At 36.6% G+C, this 17672-nt stretch overlaps 1 long non-coding RNA gene and 1 pseudogene across 1 annotated transcript; both read left to right on the forward strand.

The window, feature by feature from the left end:
- The first annotated feature begins 502 nt into the window (after window positions 1-502).
- Window positions 503-16852, forward strand: LOC105376194 (uncharacterized). Its single transcript, NR_135141.1, has 4 exons — window positions 503-569; window positions 11447-11540; window positions 16268-16364; window positions 16498-16852. It is a non-coding gene; the product is annotated as an uncharacterized LOC105376194 (long non-coding RNA).
- Window positions 5596-7205, forward strand: TOPORSLP (topoisomerase I binding, arginine and serine rich like, pseudogene; annotated as a pseudogene).
- Window positions 16853-17672: the final 820 nt, after the last annotated feature.

The raw sequence follows: 17672 nt of genomic DNA on the forward strand, positions 1-17672 counted from the left end.
TGAAAAAATAATCAACAAATTTGTATCATTTTGAGTCCAAAATCTTGGTACACAAACAACCAAGATGTTGATTAATCCACCTCGCATACATGCTAACAGGTTTATTCATATCTTTCATTTAAATAGAAAGTGACAATTTTCTTATTAAATAATTTAAATCCAAATATTAATAGGACACCAGCAACTTTTACTTTGGAGAATTCATTCATCAAGAAAAGTGGTATTCCACCAAGCACTGTTGCTCTCTTCTGAATCAGACTACTTGTTAGAACATTGGCTCTGATTGGTCTACTAAAACAAAGAGTTCTGGCAACCTCTAAGTCATGGATTTGAATCCCATTTTATTCAGGATTGTGTCTTAAACGCACTAGGGACAGTGCTGCGAAACAAAATATGCCAAGCTTCATGGAAATCTTGGAGGTCTGTCTTTGCCTAGACCATAGCAGAACTTGCCCTGTGTTCTAAATTCTGTCTCTAAGGCAAACAAAACAGAGGTGATCCACTACAACCAAATTAATCCAGCAAGCTAAGGCTCAGATCACTGTGGATATGTCCAAATCCTCCATGAGGTAAATTTGCTAAATAATGTAACTTCTGTCATTTTTACTTTCAAGGTGAATGAAGACTTGGTGAAAGCATTACCTCTGGAAAGGATGGCTTGAAACCTCAACGGAAGGGATGGAAGTTAGGCAATCAGCTTGGCTATATTTGCTTAAAAGTTAATAATTCACTAAAACTGTTTAACTTGGAGGGATCTAGACACAGGCTATTTTTAATCTGGCAACCTAGTATTAGCAGGAATTGGATTAGCTATCATAAAAATGAGCTTGAAGGCAGTAGAAATGAAAAGATTGGAAAATTAAAAGTTTTGAGAGTAGGCTTGCTCTTAATATTTGTGGGGGGTGAGGTAAAAGTACAAATGGAAAACCTCATTATCTGCATCCTGTCCCTTTTATATGTAGCATCATAAGTAGCCTTTTGCACTCCAGTCTCCATTCACAAATTCCATCCACTCACCTCATGTCCACCTCTCTAGTCTAGGTTTGTGTACGTTGACCATGTGGTCTGCCCTTGAGAATGGACCTGGAATGAGGTTAGTGCAAGCCCTAGAAGGACTATTTAGGCAAGAACTTTAGGAGTTCTAGAAAACAGAAGGATCATCTATGGGAAAGAGGGAGTACAGATAGCCTAAACTTTTGGTTTCATGAGCTCCTCCCCTCTGTGAAAGGGCACAGATGGAAGAGGTCCTAAGGTAGTTTCAAACTGAGGAGGCCAGGACAGAGACCCCAGTTGCTAGGGTCAGAGGGTTGTGTTGTGTGGGGCCATAAGCTAACTGCCTTCACATGTGAGAGGCTCTCATAGTTTCGTGGAAGGGATTAGTGTGGCTAGGGAGAAGAATGGGAAATTAGAACCAGGACACAGTTTGGGCTAATAATTTGGGGTTATGTAACAAAAGATTTTAGCTAGCAGCAAGGAAAAACTTCTTTATCCTTAGACCAAGCTGCAGTGAAACAGAATGAACCATGTCTAAGAATACCTAAAATTGTGAGGAAGAATTGGAACAGAAACCAGGTAACAATCTGCCATGGGGTTATATAAGAGATTTCTGCACTAGTTAAATGTGAAGTAGACAAGAGTTTTGTAAACCTAAACTCCATGGTGACCCTAATAATTTAGTGGAGCTATATTGGAGAACCATGCGTAGGGCGAGGTGGGCAGTCCTGAGGAAGTTGGGAGGTAGAGATAGGACTGAATTATGTTTAATGTGTTGCACAGTATGATTTTATTACAAGAGTTCTTTGCCTTCAAAAGTCTTGAAAACTACTATACAATATGATCTCTGAAGTTCTTTCCAACTCTACTATTCCATGAGTTTAAAAAACTAGAAGTTTTCCAGGTGCAGTGGCTCACACTTGTAATCTCAGCACTTTGGGAGGCTAAGGCAGGCAGATCACTTGAGGTCAGGAGTTCGAGACCAGCCTGGCCAACATACTGAAACCCTGTCTCTACTAAAAATACAAAAATTAGCGGGGCATGGTGGCAGGTGCCTATAACCCCAGCTACTCAGGAGGTGGAGGCAGGAGAATTGCTTCAACCTGGGAGATGGAGGATGCAGTGAGCCAAGATGGCGCCACTGCACTCCAGCCTGGGTGAAAGAGTGAGACTCTGTCTCAAAAAATAAAAATAAAAATAAAAAAACTAGATTCCATCATGGAAAAATGTCAAAGATAACAAGAAGTCAGACTAAGTGAAAAATATTGACTATTAAAAATGTGAGCAATTTTTCGTCAAACATGTCAGCCCAAAATGCTCAAAATGTGTAGACTAAGATTTTAAGATGATTTTATGTGATATATGATTTTATTTTTAGCTAGTTTTTTAATTAGAAAAAAATACATGTGAATGGTTTAAAAAATTACATTGTGAGTATAAGTTGGAAACTACTTGTAAGCTTTGTTTTCCTGTCCTTACATCAAATTCAACCACCTATAACTATACTGGCATCTTTTGTATAGCTGTCCAGAAATTTTCTTTGTATATCCAAACTTATGCTGTGTATATCTTTCTTGAATTAAAAATTTAATTAAATATTAAATAATACAAAAGATGTGTAACATATATAAGTTTTAAATAGTAATAATAAAGTCAATGCATAATACCCACCCCCTTGGCTAAGGAATAGAACACATCTACCACCTTTGAAGACCTCTGCATGTCTTTTCTTGATGGCATTTATCTCGCTCTCTAACACCTGGTAGGAAACACTATCTTCATTTCAGGGTTTGTCAATTCCATTGCTTTCTTTACAAATAGTTTTGCCCCATAAGAATGTCCATTTAAATTTTATATTTATTATTTTAAAATTTACATATGAAATTCTATTTTATTCATTATTTGATTTGCTTATTTTATTTTTATATTGAATTTCATTGATGTTTTCCTCTTTAATTCCACTGTCTCTCCTTATTACAAGTTTGAATGTAGCCCATTTCTTTTAGTGATTATTGTAGACATTTTAATGTACATATTTAACTGTCTAAATTTAATACATATCTTAAGCTTTCTTCATAATAAAACAAAAACTTTAAAATGTTTTGAGTTCAATTACTCACCTTCCAACTTTTATTTTTTTAATATTTAGAGCTTTATTTTCATTTTAATCCCACAATATAGACATTTATAATATTGTTTTATACATGTCTTGCTTAGATTGATCCATATGTTTACCATTTTTGTTTATCATTTTGTATTTCATCTCATCAATTCCTTCTGTAGTCATTTTTGTATAATTTTCCTTCTGAACTACATCTTTCACATGTTCTTTTAGAAAGGGTTGGTTGGTCTTTAACTTTTTTTGGGTTTAGTTTCTCACAAATGTCTTTCTCTCAAAATTCAAATTTTGACCTAATCCATGAAAGGCACTTTCACTGGATATATATTTCTAGGATGACAAGTTTGCTTTAATCAGTACTTTGAAGATATATTCTTTTTTTGTTTGATTTATATAATTACAACTGGGCAGTCACTTCTTCTTTGGTGTACAACAGTTTTACTTTGATCTATTTTAGAGGGGATTTCTTTTTAGTTATTATACTTGGAATTTATCATAATTCTGAAACTGATGATTTACATATTTTACATATTCCAGAAAGTTGTTAAATAGATCTGTTTGAATATCACTTTTCCTTCATTTTCTCTATTATTTCCTAAACATTTTAAACAGTCTCACTTAAAAGTTGTCTTTATCTTCCAAATTTCCATTTCTTTTTCTCTCTGTGATGCATTCTATGCATTCTTTCAGATCTCCATCTTAATGCACTGGTAACTCCCTTCATCTATGTCTATTTTGTGTTTATTTCATCCATTCATTTTAAAATTTCGATACTTATATTTTTATTTCTTGAAATCCTATCTGGTTATGTTTCAAATCCCTTTTGTCATGTTTTATACACTCTGTTTTGATAACACTTTTAAAACACCTTTATTTGTTTGAACATATTCAGTGTATCATTTTGCAATTCTTTTAGGTGCCAAATTTGCTCTCTGTTATTTCTGTGGACTTATGCATATGATGACCGATTTTCTTTTGTTGGTGGTGATTTTTGATTGTGAACTAATTTATGGGAAATGTGTCATGAGACCTGGGTTTAAGCTGCATTCCTCCAGAGAAAATTTGGGTTTGCCTATACCAGTTGCCTGGGATCAGTATGGAACTCAAAATAAATTATCCTCTTGAGATTTTTAAGAAAACTGATTGTTTAAATTTAGTCTGCAAACACACTTACTTGTTTCTAGTTATAGCTCTTCTAAGATTTCTTGTTGACTCTTTTGTGGGGTATTGCTTTTTTTTCAAATTCGCCTTTTGGTGAGGCTGTAAACATTTGGATACACAAACTTACAGAGGGGTTTCCTATTAAATATTTAACCTTCAGCAGAGTCCATTCTTTGTCTCTGATCATCTACAACTATCAGTTCTATCAGAATTAAAGCTCAAGAACACCAGATATGGGTAACTAGCGGTATTAGAACTCACTTCCTTTTCTGGATTCCTATTTATCTCTGGTTCTTTAATGTCTGGCAATTTTGCTTATTTCCTCTCAACTTAGCATACACATACATGCACGCACACACACACACTTTCACACACACAGTCACATATATGTGTGTGTATATATACATAATTATTATAGCTAGCATTATTTTGTTATTCCTAATAGAAAAGTTTTTCAGGTTTCGAGTTCACAATACTAACAGAAATTAATGCTTACTGTTTAAGAGTTTATAACAGTCTTTCATACTTCTATATAAACTTTTTCATTTAAAAATGTAATAACATTAGGAGATATACCTAATGCTAAATGATGAGTTAATGGGTGCAGCACACCAACATGGCACATGTATACATATGTAACAAACCTGCACATTGTGCACATGTACCCTAAAACTTAAAGTATAATTTAAAAAAAAGAAAGAAAAAATGTATTCAGCAATCTTCTTATATTAACATGTACTTTGCTTCATGTTTTGAATGGATGCATAATATTAAATACTATGAATGAAATATCATTTATTTAACAAGTCCCCTACTGATGGATATTTAAGTTGTTTTCAGTTTCTTGTTATTACAAAAACAAAGTCAACATACACACATACACACACACACACACACACACACAAACATATATATGTTACATATATATGGTTCCAACAGCTAGATTAAATTTATAGAATTAGAATTGCTAAGTCAAATAATATAGTACTTAAATTTTGATGTTTATTTCTAATTTGCTTTTCAGTGTTTAAAACAACTAATTTAAGAGAGAAAAAGAAAATCTATGCCTGTATCCCCATTGCCTTATCTACATTGGGTTTTATGAGCACATTATTATTAATTTGAGGAATAGTTTGTTTCTTAACTTTATTCTAGCATTTATTCCATGGAGATAAAATGTATTATGAAAACATGAATGGAGTGCTTTTAAAAGACATTTTTCATGGCAAGTGAGGAATTGATTTGAGCCAATTTTTCTCGTATTCAACTGTGAAATAGAATCCAATATAACAGCAAAGTCATTAGATCTCTCATCTGAGTGTGAGTGTCCTAATTGTTTGGAGGGTCCTCCGAATGAGTCTGATTGGAACACCTGTTCCAACGAGAGTGGTAATGGCTCTTGACATTCAAGATCAAGGAAGAAATCCATGCTTTCTTCTAGCATGCAGTGCTTTCCTTCTCAGTGTTGTCCCACCAAGCCAGAGAGTGGTAACAAAGAAGACTCAGCAGTTCCTCCCTCAGATGAGGAAAGCTATGTGGGGTCTTCTCAAAACAATCATCTAATTTTGAGCCTTGAGGATATGAAAAGGAAAATCAAGCCATTGAGAGAGTGGACTATCCATGAGTTACTGAGGGAGTTTGGGGATAATGGGAAGTTCCAACCAAACTCCATGTCTCTGAGCTACTTTAGAGATCCAGTGGTTATGAATTTCAGAAGAGCTCTGTATTATTCTGGAATTTGGGTGACGCATATTCGAGGCTACAAACCTCAAAAGCACTTTACAGCTAATTATTTTAAAAGAAACCCAGGTTGCCTACACCGGCTGGTTCCCTGGCTGGAAGGGGAACTAACAGCTGTTTATGGAGATTATGGCTACACAGTGAAGAACATCCTAATCACCATCCTCCATCACATGACAGAATATGACTTGGACAGTGAGTCCTTCATTCACCTCCTGGAACCTTATCTCTTACAACACACCCACCATTTCCTACATGAGTTTATTAGTTTTGTTCATTCACCTTACAACATGGAGACCTATGACCAGCGAGCCATCTATCAGTGCTCTGCTGCTTCACCATGTGTAAACAAGAAGCCCCTTGTATCAGCTCCTGTTTCACCTCTGCCTAAGGATCACAGTCTACTGATATCTCAACATAATACAAAGCAGTCTAAAAATACCCAGGGTCAATGGAATAAAGAGGAGAGGCCCCTGTTAGGCTTGAAACAGTTTCCAAATGGTAACTCTTCCTTGAAGAAATCTGAAATCCCACCAGTCTGTGATAAAACAGTAAGCAAAATCTATGGTGGAATCAAAGACAAAGCAGAATCGGGTGACCACAAAAGCATCATTTCTATGAATAATATACTCCAGAAGTGGGCTACTCCAAGGGAAAGGTGCCCAGGCCTACTGAATTGCAAAAAAAAGTTCAAGAGAAAAAGACAGAAGGGATAAAGTTGTTTCCTGATCATGTCCATGATCTGGGAAAGAGTGACACAACTGCACACACCTTCAGTACCCCAGCAATTTCTAATCAGGTGCAACCATAGAAATATAGTTTAAGAGAAAGAAAGGATTTGAGCCTTGGCCAGAAGATAAACTTTCAGAAAAAAGAGGAAGACAATAACAAATACTCAGATTCTTCACCAAAGACCTTTCAAAGATTGTCCAGAGAAAGATCCTTGAAAAGATGCAAATCCAGAGAGAGAGACCCCTCTTGGAGTTGCATTTCAGAAAATGCCTTTTCTCCTAAGAGAGATGGCAGGAAACTGAGTTCTTTCAGAAAAAAGAGGATGAAGTGTAGACAACCCTCCCAATTTGTAGAAATTGGGTCACACTCCAGGAGAAGAATCCAAAGACGATCAAGGTCCAATACTCACAGATCCAAATCCTGGTGTGTTGGATCTAGAAAGAGATCTGTAAGCAGAGAATTGAGTAATCTCTCTCTGAGAGGAAGTCACAGAAGTGAACACTTCACCCAGAATATATGCTGTGAGCCCTCAAAAGACAAGCATGCCCATGGCAATGAATCAGACTGTGGGAGGCCATCTTCAACCACAGTCCAATACGTGAAGCTTTCTTCAACTGCTGGGAAGAGACCCAAGTGTGCTTCTAAAAGTGAAGGTACTTCCCAAGCAGGAAGACGCTGTAACAGTCCCACATGCCTACAGCTCCAGAAACACAGATCCCCAAGTAAACAGGAGATAAAGCAAGAAACTACATTTCCTAGAGCTAGAAGAACCAGAGCAGTTAGGCACAGAAAAACCAAATGCCATTATTCAGATATACACACCACAGAGGATGTCAGTGATGAATTGGGCAATCTGGATGATATAAGACAAATGAGTGGTCTGAGTGTGCACCCTCCTGCAGGAGGCAAATCCACGAAAAACAGCATTGGAATCTTCAGAATATTTACTGGGTCAAGAAAGAATACAAAAGAGACATACTATCAGAAACATTGGTGCAAATTGTTTTAAAAGTCAAATCAGTCTACTAAACTAACCACCAAGCTAGTTATTCATACATTCAAAGAGTATGAATATAATCTAAAAACATTACTGAAAAGATTTATCACATCGCTTTATAACTGAAAGTAAAAGCCTGGTTATTAAATTCAAAGTTGACTTTGGAGACAAATGCAAATCATTATATTGGTCATATATGTAAATATTTCTCCCTACTTTTTTTCTTATGAAATCAATTATTAAAATATTTGACTTATTTTCTGTTCCTAGATTTAACTGTAAAGATCGACTGCTCAAAGTTCCAAACACCCTGAAGATTATACTAACAATAAAAGCATAAGTTTCCTAACACAAGTTATTCATATGTTACTAAACACATGTCTTATTGTATTAGTTTGTTCTCACACTGCTATAAAGAACTGCCTGAGACTGGATAATTTATCAAGGAAAGAGGTTTAATTGACTCACAATTCAGCATGCCTGAGGAGGCCTCAGGAAGATTACAATCATGGTGGAAGGGGAAGCAAACACATCCTTCTTCACATGGCAGCAGGAGAGAAAAGTGCAGAGCAAAGGTGGGGAATGCCCCTTATAAAACCACCAGATCTCATGAGAATTCACTCACTATCATGAGAACAGCATGGGGGCACTGCCCCCATGATCTATTCACCTCCCACAAGGTCCCTCCCCCAACATGTGGGAACTACAATTTGGATTACAATTCAAGATAAAATTTGGATGGGGACACAGAGCCAGACCATATCAGTTATTTAAAAAATATTAATATCTACTGAGGTCTATTAAGTTTTAGACCTAATGCATTTTTAGTCCCTAGAAAATAAAGGCAGGGTCACTGTCTTAAGGTATAGGCATTGCCTTAAAGTATTTCACAGCCTAGTTAGCAAAGCAGATGTAAATAAATGGTAAAAATGAGCATTTATGGAATTTTTGGCACACCTTTTACGATCACCCTCTCTTAAAAACTACACCTCCACATGCCCTGACATCCAGATGCCTTTATTAGATGCCATTTTTTTTTCTTTTAGATAACTCTGATTCTCCATCTATAGTACCATGGCTCAATGATGGTGGCTACTTAAGCCAAACTAATCAGTATTTTGCCCCTCTGGCCACACAATATAGTATTTCCCTGGTATTTCTCAAACTGGTCCTGAGCAAAAGGGTCATTCTTTTTCCCTGTTAGCACATGGTGAGAAATTTAAAGTTTAGATATTAAGTTGGTGCAAAAGTAACTGCAGTTTTTGCCATTAAAAGTAACAACAAAAATTACTTTTGCATCAACCTAGTACTATCAAGAGCTGTATTTCTCAATATGAGAAAGTCAGTTTGAGGTAAGACAGGAGAAAGCTAACAGAGTAAAGTGAGACAAGTCAGGTAAAGAGAGTCTTGGAAGTAGGACGTGGATCTTCTAGAACCCGAGCTGTCATTCTATCTTTTATGTGGTTGTATTATTTTAAACCTCCTTAAGTATTGTGTCAGTACATTTCCTGTATGCCTCCTTTATTAAATCAGGATTTTATTCACTTTCAATCAAGCAAGGCACTGGGAATTGGCACAATGGAAGTCTGTTAGAGAATGAAGAGGGAGTAATAATTGTCTTGGGGAAGTTTCTGAAGACTTTTCGGAAGTCATATATGGGTATGGTCCTAAAGGGTGAGTAGGAGTTTACCAGATGAATTTAGTGGCAAGGGCTATCAAGAAAAAGGAGAGACTTGAAGAAAAGGAAGAAAAATGAAATTTTCTAGAACTGCACTTCTAGTGTAGCTGGAAAATGCTGAGAGATACGCTGAGAAGGGAAGTTGATGCCAAGTTTTAAACAGGCATAAAACCAGCTGAGTCTACAGCAGTCACAAAGCACCTAAAGTTAGCACAGGACTCAAAATTCAAATTTTTTATATTTAAACAGTATTTTATTTACTTTCTTAACTTTTGGAAAAGAATAAAGACATGTTTTCTAAAGAAATCTTAGACAACCCATGTAACAGAAATATATGTGTTCCAGTAAACTTAGTTGTAAACATTGCCATATTTCCTTTTTTTGGTATGTAACCTCTTATCAAATTAGGTGAGTTTTCTACTATCAACCATTAGCTAAACCCTTCACGGTAGAAATTCATGGAAATATATGCAAAGCCCTGAAATTAGAAAAAACAGGAAATCAATTATAGTAGTTCAGAACACCACAATTTAGCAGCAGTTTATAAAAAAGAAAGTAAAACTGTTATTGTAGTCAAAAGTATACTTATGAGCCAATAATGCTAGGCTGCATTCAAAGACGTAGAGAATTTCCCTTGGCAGAGAAAAGCAAAGTAGACATATCAAAGTCTTCAAATACACAAATGATTGTTCTCTAGGAAAGTGTATATTTCTAAATAATTTGGAGAGCAAATCTGGCTTCTTTTAAGGGTAAAGTTTCAGGAAGGTGATTCTGCTTAATCAAAGAAAGCCTTTCCTATTAGACTAGTCATATGATTCCTTTAAGAGTGGGAAAGAGGCCAATAGAGAAAAGGAATTCTCATCCCTAGAAGTGTTCATACTTGGCTGGATTCCAAAAATGTGAAAAATTTGACTGGATATTTTCTAAATTCCAGTCTATCTCAAAGATGTCAAGACTCATTAAAGAGTCAAATAAATTTTCTAATGAATCAAAAATGTCATAACCTTAAATATGGAAACAGCATTTCATGGATGGGAATTTATATTTAATGATAACACAGTAACAATAACAAATATTGAAAGTTTACTATTCGTGATATACACACACACATAAATTCTATGAGGCAGTACTTTAATCCACATTTTATCAGTGAGGAAAGCTAGTAAATGTTGTGGTTTGAACTCAAACCTACATGGCCCCAACTTGAGTAAATGATCTTAAACCACAACCTGGTACTACCTACTTTTTAGCTGTTGTTGCCATTTGTATTTATCTATCTTTCACATCCTCTGGTGAACACATTCACAAACACTATGTCATTTTACTATTACAAAAAGTGAGTAAGGTTGGTTCAATTACGCTTATCTTTTCAACAAGGAAAATGCGTTTCAAAGAGATTATATCATAACAAGCAACAGAGCTGAGAGTAAAACTGTAGTTCTAACTGCCCATGCTTTGCGTTTTTATAGCTTATTCTGGTTGACCGAGTTTTTCAAATCTAACTCAGAAATACTTACAACCTTTAAACACCTAGTCCTCTCTGCTACTGAGAGCACTTTTTCATTCAAAATCCAGAATACTAACATAATCGTACAGGATGAGGTGCCAAAGGGTCACTTCTATTAATTTATAACAATAAAAACCAATTCCTCTTTCCCAAGTTCACCCTGAATTGTCCTTTTGATGCCAATGGGTTCATCTCAGCCAGCTGGGAGTAGGCAGGTGACTGATTTTCAATACACATGGCTCAGTTCACACAATATCTTCTATGGCATGTGAGTCAGCTGAAACCTTGGAGGTCCAGGGCCAGTTTTTATCTCTGTCCTTGACTCCCTAGTGCTCTTTGGAGTGATACTCCTTGAGGTATATTTTATCTGTCTAATAAAAAGCAGGTAAAGAGAAATGAGATGTCTGAAGATACTTTAAAGTCATTGTCAGGAGTTAATATAAAAATGAATGAATTATTAATACTTATAGCTTTCCATTTTGCATCTTTTAACTAATGAGAATTTATCAATCCCCACAGATACATCTTAGAGAAGGCTTTCCACCTGTGCACAGTGGAACACTTACAGTATCCTCCTAACTTCTTTTCCTGACTCTGGGCTCTCTTTCTCCAGGTAATAATCCACACTGCTACTGTCATTCTAATTTTTTTTTTTTTTTTTTTGAGATGGATTCTCGCTCTGTCACCCAGGCTGGAATGCAGTGGCGCAATCCCGGCTCACTGCAAGCTCCGCCTCCCGGGTTCACGCCATTCTCCTGCCTCAGCCTCCTGAGTAGCTGGGACTACAGGCGCCCGCCACCACGCCTGGCTAATTTTTGCATGTTTAGTAGAGACGAGGTTTCACTGTGTTAGCCAGGATGGTCTCGATCTCCTGACCTTGTGATCCACCCGCCTCGGCCTCCCAAAGTGCTGGGATTACAGGTGTGAGCCACCACGCCCGGTTCTGTCATTGTAGTATTACACATTTATTTATGTAATTTGCCTGCCTAAAATTCTTCATTGGTTCCCTGTTGCACAGAGAATCCTTTAGCTTCAATCCATTCCTCCATCCATTTGTCCTGGTAGACAAACACACAAACACAGACATACATACATATATTTCATGCACAGGAACACACCATTATCTGCACACATCATCTCTTATCAATAAAATAGATTATAACTTCCTTGTCTTAGACAAAATGCATCTCCATCACAACACTTACTCCAGTGTCCTCCATGTTGTTGTTCAATAAACAAATTTTCTCTAATTGGTTTGGTATTGTTGAACTGTATGATATTGGATAAGCTAACTTCTCTGCAATTCAGTTCTCACCTCAGTTAAATGTAATTTGTTCAGTCCCTTTTTGAACCACTGATCTGATGTTCTGTAAAACAATGCTACTGCCTTGCATCTGAGCCTTCCTCACCATTCTCCATGCCAGTGGCTTTCACTGGGCTCATCTTTCATACTCATCTGGACTTTTTTGTCACATTATTGAGGTCTATAGTGGATTTTAAGTGATTTACTGGCCTGTAATACAATTTGGACTTAGAAACACTCTGCTAGAGGATCTCTAGATTTCTTTCCATTTTCAATATGCTATAAATGTTCGATTTTTGATTTAATTGTTAGTCACATCAAAGTGACTATTGAGCTACTGGAAGTATTTTACAACTAAGGACTGATAAGAAATTTTGTCACATTATTAAGTGCTCCAATGTAAAATTTTAGAACGTTATATAGAAATGCTGTCACGTGCAGTTTTGTCTCATTGGCATATGGTTTATTAAAGTAAACTAGAAAGTATCTGAACACAGCTTCAACAGTTTCAGTAATGTTCAAAGTATAAAGCTGCATAGTGGGTTGACAGGTATATTTTTATAAGAGGCTTCATAACAAACAAATATGTTATACATATTATTTTGTACATTAAATATTACATAAAATCATATTTTGAGATATGAGGATTATGCATATATACTTATTGTTTATATATACTTATAATTCAGAAGAATAGGTGCATAAATGCAAGGCAGTGATCAACCACTACCCTGATTAACCCTTCAATACTTTCCCAGTCTCTACTGTAGCAGATTCTTTGCTTTTTTTCTTTTTAATTTAAAATTCAACAATACCAGTAGCAAGTCAGTTTCTGAATCAGGTCAGGCCATTGCCCATTTTCATGCTAACTTCTTAGCTTGCAAAGACTTTGTTCTTCTGTTGTTTAGAGAAACTTTCTAGAATCCATTTAAGGGACACAATCTTTTTGAAGTTTTACTTTATATTTTCCCAACTGTCAAGCTCTTAGAAGTTTCTTTGTATCACTTTCTTTGTACCCTCAAACTTCATTTTCTTTCTTTCTTTTTTAATTGAGACAGGGTCTCATTCTGTCATCCAGGCTGGAGTGCAGTGATGTGAGTACGGCTCTCTGCAGCCTCGACCTCCTGGACTCAAGTGATTCTCCTGTCTCAGCCTCCAAAGTAGCTGGAACTACAGGAATGTGCCACCACACCTGGCTAATTTTTGTGCTTTTTGTAAAGATGGGACTTTGCCATGTTGCCAGACTGGTCTTGAACTCCTGGCCTCAAACAATTTGCCTGCCTTGGCTTCCCAAAGTGTTAGGATTTCAGACATGAGCCACCATGCCCAGCCTGTGCCCTCGAACTTCTACTGTAAAACCAAAAATACTTATTTTGCCATTTTTATCTTACATGTCTGAGTTCACTCTCCCCATATCCCTCCCTTAAGAATGAGAACTTCTTCAAGAAAAGGACCAGCCTAGCACATAGTAAGTGCTTAGTTAATGCTGACTGGAAAAATGGATGATGAAAGATACAGAACAAAATTTGCATATGAATTGAATAGGATCAGTGGTTGTAGGAGGCATCATGAGGAAATAGTGACGCAAGAAGGACCCTTGCCATGAAATCCAACATGATTCATTTCAATCACTCTTCTGTGTTAGAACCTAAAAGTCAATCAACTGTGCCCAGACAAAGTAAAGCCCAAGGAGATTCTAAAGGATGCCCTTAGATAGATAATCACTTACAGGTTAACATGAAAGTCTTTGTGTACTATATCAAAAGATTCTTGCTACTTGATAAAAATTCAGAATCATGGGCCCCAACGCAAACCAGAAATTGAATTTTAATATTATCCCCTGGAGATTTATATGCAGAATATTTTGAGAAGCACTTCCTTAAAGTAACAGTTTTAGGACTGAATGCCAGCCATAAACTATTATTCTACCAAAATTTTTAAATACAAGTTTGTTATCATGTAGTAGCCGACAATGGTGACTATAATAAATAAGATTTCAGGTCAAACAAAAATTTGAGGTTGACAGTAGTGTAAATAGAATCTAATTAATAAATTTAAATAGTTATTCCTTATTTATTACTACTTGAATGAGTTTCCTTTTAGAAAAAATATACATATACCATATAACTTTTACATTATATGTGTTAAAAACAGATGGACTATTCCATACATGAAACACACATGAATGCATATACCAAGGCAGAAATGCATTGGTAGAGTATGTTTATGAAGTCCATTAAGATTTTGTAAAGCATTTAGAGAAGCAGAATGGCATAGTGGCTAAAAGCACAGACTCCAGGGATAGACTGCCTGGAGTTAAATCCTTACTTTGTGCTTATTAACTATATGACCTTGGTCAAGTTTTAGAACCTCCATTGCTCAATTTCCTCATCTATAGAATGGAGATAACAATAGTGTCTGACCCAAAGGGTGGTTATGAGGGTTCAATAAAGTGTAAAATTCTTTAAAAATTCTTAAAACACTGCCTGGCACATAGTGGTATATATATATATATATATATATGTATGTATGTATGTGTGTGTATATATATATATGTGTATATATATATGTATGTGTGTATATATATACACACACACACATACATACATACATTTATATGTAGGGGAGAGGAGACAGAACAAGAAAGAGTATAAGCAAGCTATTATTACTATTGTCATTATTAAAGGTTTACCATATGAGAAAACACAGGTTGGTCTGAACACAAGAATTAACCCACCACAAATTAAGTGTATTAATTGAGTGTATTAATCAGAATTCTCCAGATAAGAAAAACCAGTAGGATATACATGGATATATAAGAGGAATTTATTATGGGAATTAGCTCATATAATTTTGAAGGCTGACAAGTCCCACATTATGCCATTTACAAGTGGGAAACCCAGGAAAGTCAGTGGTGTAATTCAGTGAAACTTCAAAGGCCTGACAACCAGAGGAGATGATGGTATAACTCCCTGTCCCAAACCAAAAGCCTGAGAATCGGGGAGTGGGTGCTGGTGCAAGTCTGAGTCCAAAGGCCAAAGAACCAGGACATCCCATGGCCAAGGGCAAGGGATGATGGACGTCCCAGGCCAAGAAGGGAAGAGAATTTTCCCTTTCTCTGCCTTTTTGTTGTGTTCCAGCCTCAACAGATTGGATGATGCCTGCTCACATTGGTGAGGTAGATCTTCTTTACTCAGTCTATCAAGTCAAATGTTAGTCTCTTCTTTTGGAAACACTGCCCCTGCCAGACATAGCCAGAAATGAGCCACCTGGGTACCCCTTAGACCATTCAAGGTGACACTAAAATTTACCATCACAAAGAGGCAGAGAAAAGAGGAGGGCAAATGTGAAACTGTGAAGTAATGAGCATGATTGGAGCTCAGAGCATGAACAATCAGGAAATACAAGACATTCAGGAGAGTTAGGCTACCTTCAAGAACACAGATGCAGGGAAGAGGAAGAAACCAGCAACTATGAGCCTATACAATGTGCCAGTAACAGTGACATCAGCCTTTAAATATATTCGATGGTTTACTCTTCAACTCACTGATGAGATCTGTATTGTTTACTTCATATCACAAATGTGAAAACTCAGGTGCACAGAAGCTAAATGAAATATTAGAGAACAAAAAACAATGGGCTGGGCACAGTGGCTCACACCTGTAATTCTAGGACTTTGGGAGGCCAATGTAGGTGGATCACTTGAGCCCAAGAGTTCAAGACTAGCCTGGGCAACATGGAGAAACCCCATCTCTACAAAAACTTCAAAAATAAGCTGGGTGTGGCTGCACACGCCTGTAAGTCCCAGCTACTATCGAGGCTGAGGTGGGAGGAGGATTGAACTTGGGAAGTCAAGCCTGCAGTGAGCCATGAGCATGCCACTGCACTCCAGCCTGGGTGACAGAGCAAGATCTTGACTCTCAACCCCCAAAAATGAAAGGTGACAGAGCTTGACTTAAACACAGGACTGGTTAGATTTTACAATCCTATACCTCATACTTATCTAAGTAAATCCTTTTTTTTTTTTTTTTTTTTAGTTAGCCAATGGGTAATAGGTTAACCCTTTCCAACATGACTAACCTCTTTAATGAAATGAAGGTGATGAAGATGAGGAGGAAGATCATTGTGATAACGGTGAGCAACACTGGTGTAGTGCTTACTGTGTGCCCATCACTATTCTGAACATATTGCTTGTGTTACATTTTTTAATCCTACCAAAACTCTATGAGGTGGGTATATTATTATTATCATAATTCCTATTTTATAGATAAAAATATCAAGGCACAGAGAACGTAAGAAATGTACCCTAGGTAACATGGGTAATAATGGAGGAAGAAAGGAAGAGGAAGAAAACAGCAATTAATGAACATAGACAATGTGCCAGGAACAGTGACATCAACCCTTAAATATATTAGCTGGTTTAATCTCCTGGACTCTGACCCCAAGTATAGAGCCAGTTCCCTGTTCTTTACCATCACACTGTACTGGTTCCTTGTAAAACAGCAAGAACAACAAAATGTTGGTGGAGAGGCAATGAATTCATGTTTTTGAGGATCTATTGTGTATTAGAGCACAAGCCCCCATATTTAATTCTAATCACTAAAATGTGAAGTGAGAAGAAGTTTTGATGTGAGACTTTAGACAGTTGGGAAACAAAATGGGCTACATAAATGGGAGAAGTGGAAGACCCTGAAAATATCCATGTTTCAGTTGAATTTGAATTAACAAAAAATGAAACTCTTAACCAGGAATCAGCAAAAAGTTTATGTAAGGGGCTAGATAATAAATATTTTAAGCTTTGGGAAAATATACTCTCTGTCACAACTTTCCACCTCTGCTGTTGTAGCATGAAAATGGCCAGAGATGATACATAAGTGAAAGGGTTTGGCTGAATACTAATAAAACTTTATTTACACAACAGCTAGTGGGCCAGATTTGGCCCAAAGCCCATAGTTCTCAGACCCTTGTTCGTAATCTTCAGGTAATAAAAAGAACACAATGCTTTTCGTTTATGGTTACCAGGCAGTATGATTCATGAGAAAGGAACTATGGTGTTATTTAGGATTCTGTATCTTAAAAGTTGAAATCACAGTGATGAAACCTGAAGAGTTGCTGAAATATGTAAGAGCAAAGCTACAAAGGGCTGACTCTGCCAGTGATCTATTTTTGGAAAGGCAAAATATTTTAAGGATGTGGATGCTTTGCTTTATGCCCCAAGTTACAGGTAAAGCATGAATCATTCCACGAGCAATAAACCCTGGAGATCTTAAAATTATGAAAATAAGGTTAAGGTTATTTTCTTCGAAAATAGCTTCTAAAGTGAGGTGTCAGATTGAGATCACAAATTGCGTTCCTCACTTTTTTCTTCTCTGCTTCTCATCCTATCACCAGGGATGTATACTACCTCTATGATGAAAAATTATGGTCATTTTGTCTCGAAAG

The sequence above is a fragment of the Homo sapiens genome, chromosome 9 (assembly GCF_000001405.40).
Source record: "Homo sapiens chromosome 9, GRCh38.p14 Primary Assembly".
Lineage (NCBI taxonomy): Eukaryota > Metazoa > Chordata > Mammalia > Primates > Hominidae > Homo > Homo sapiens.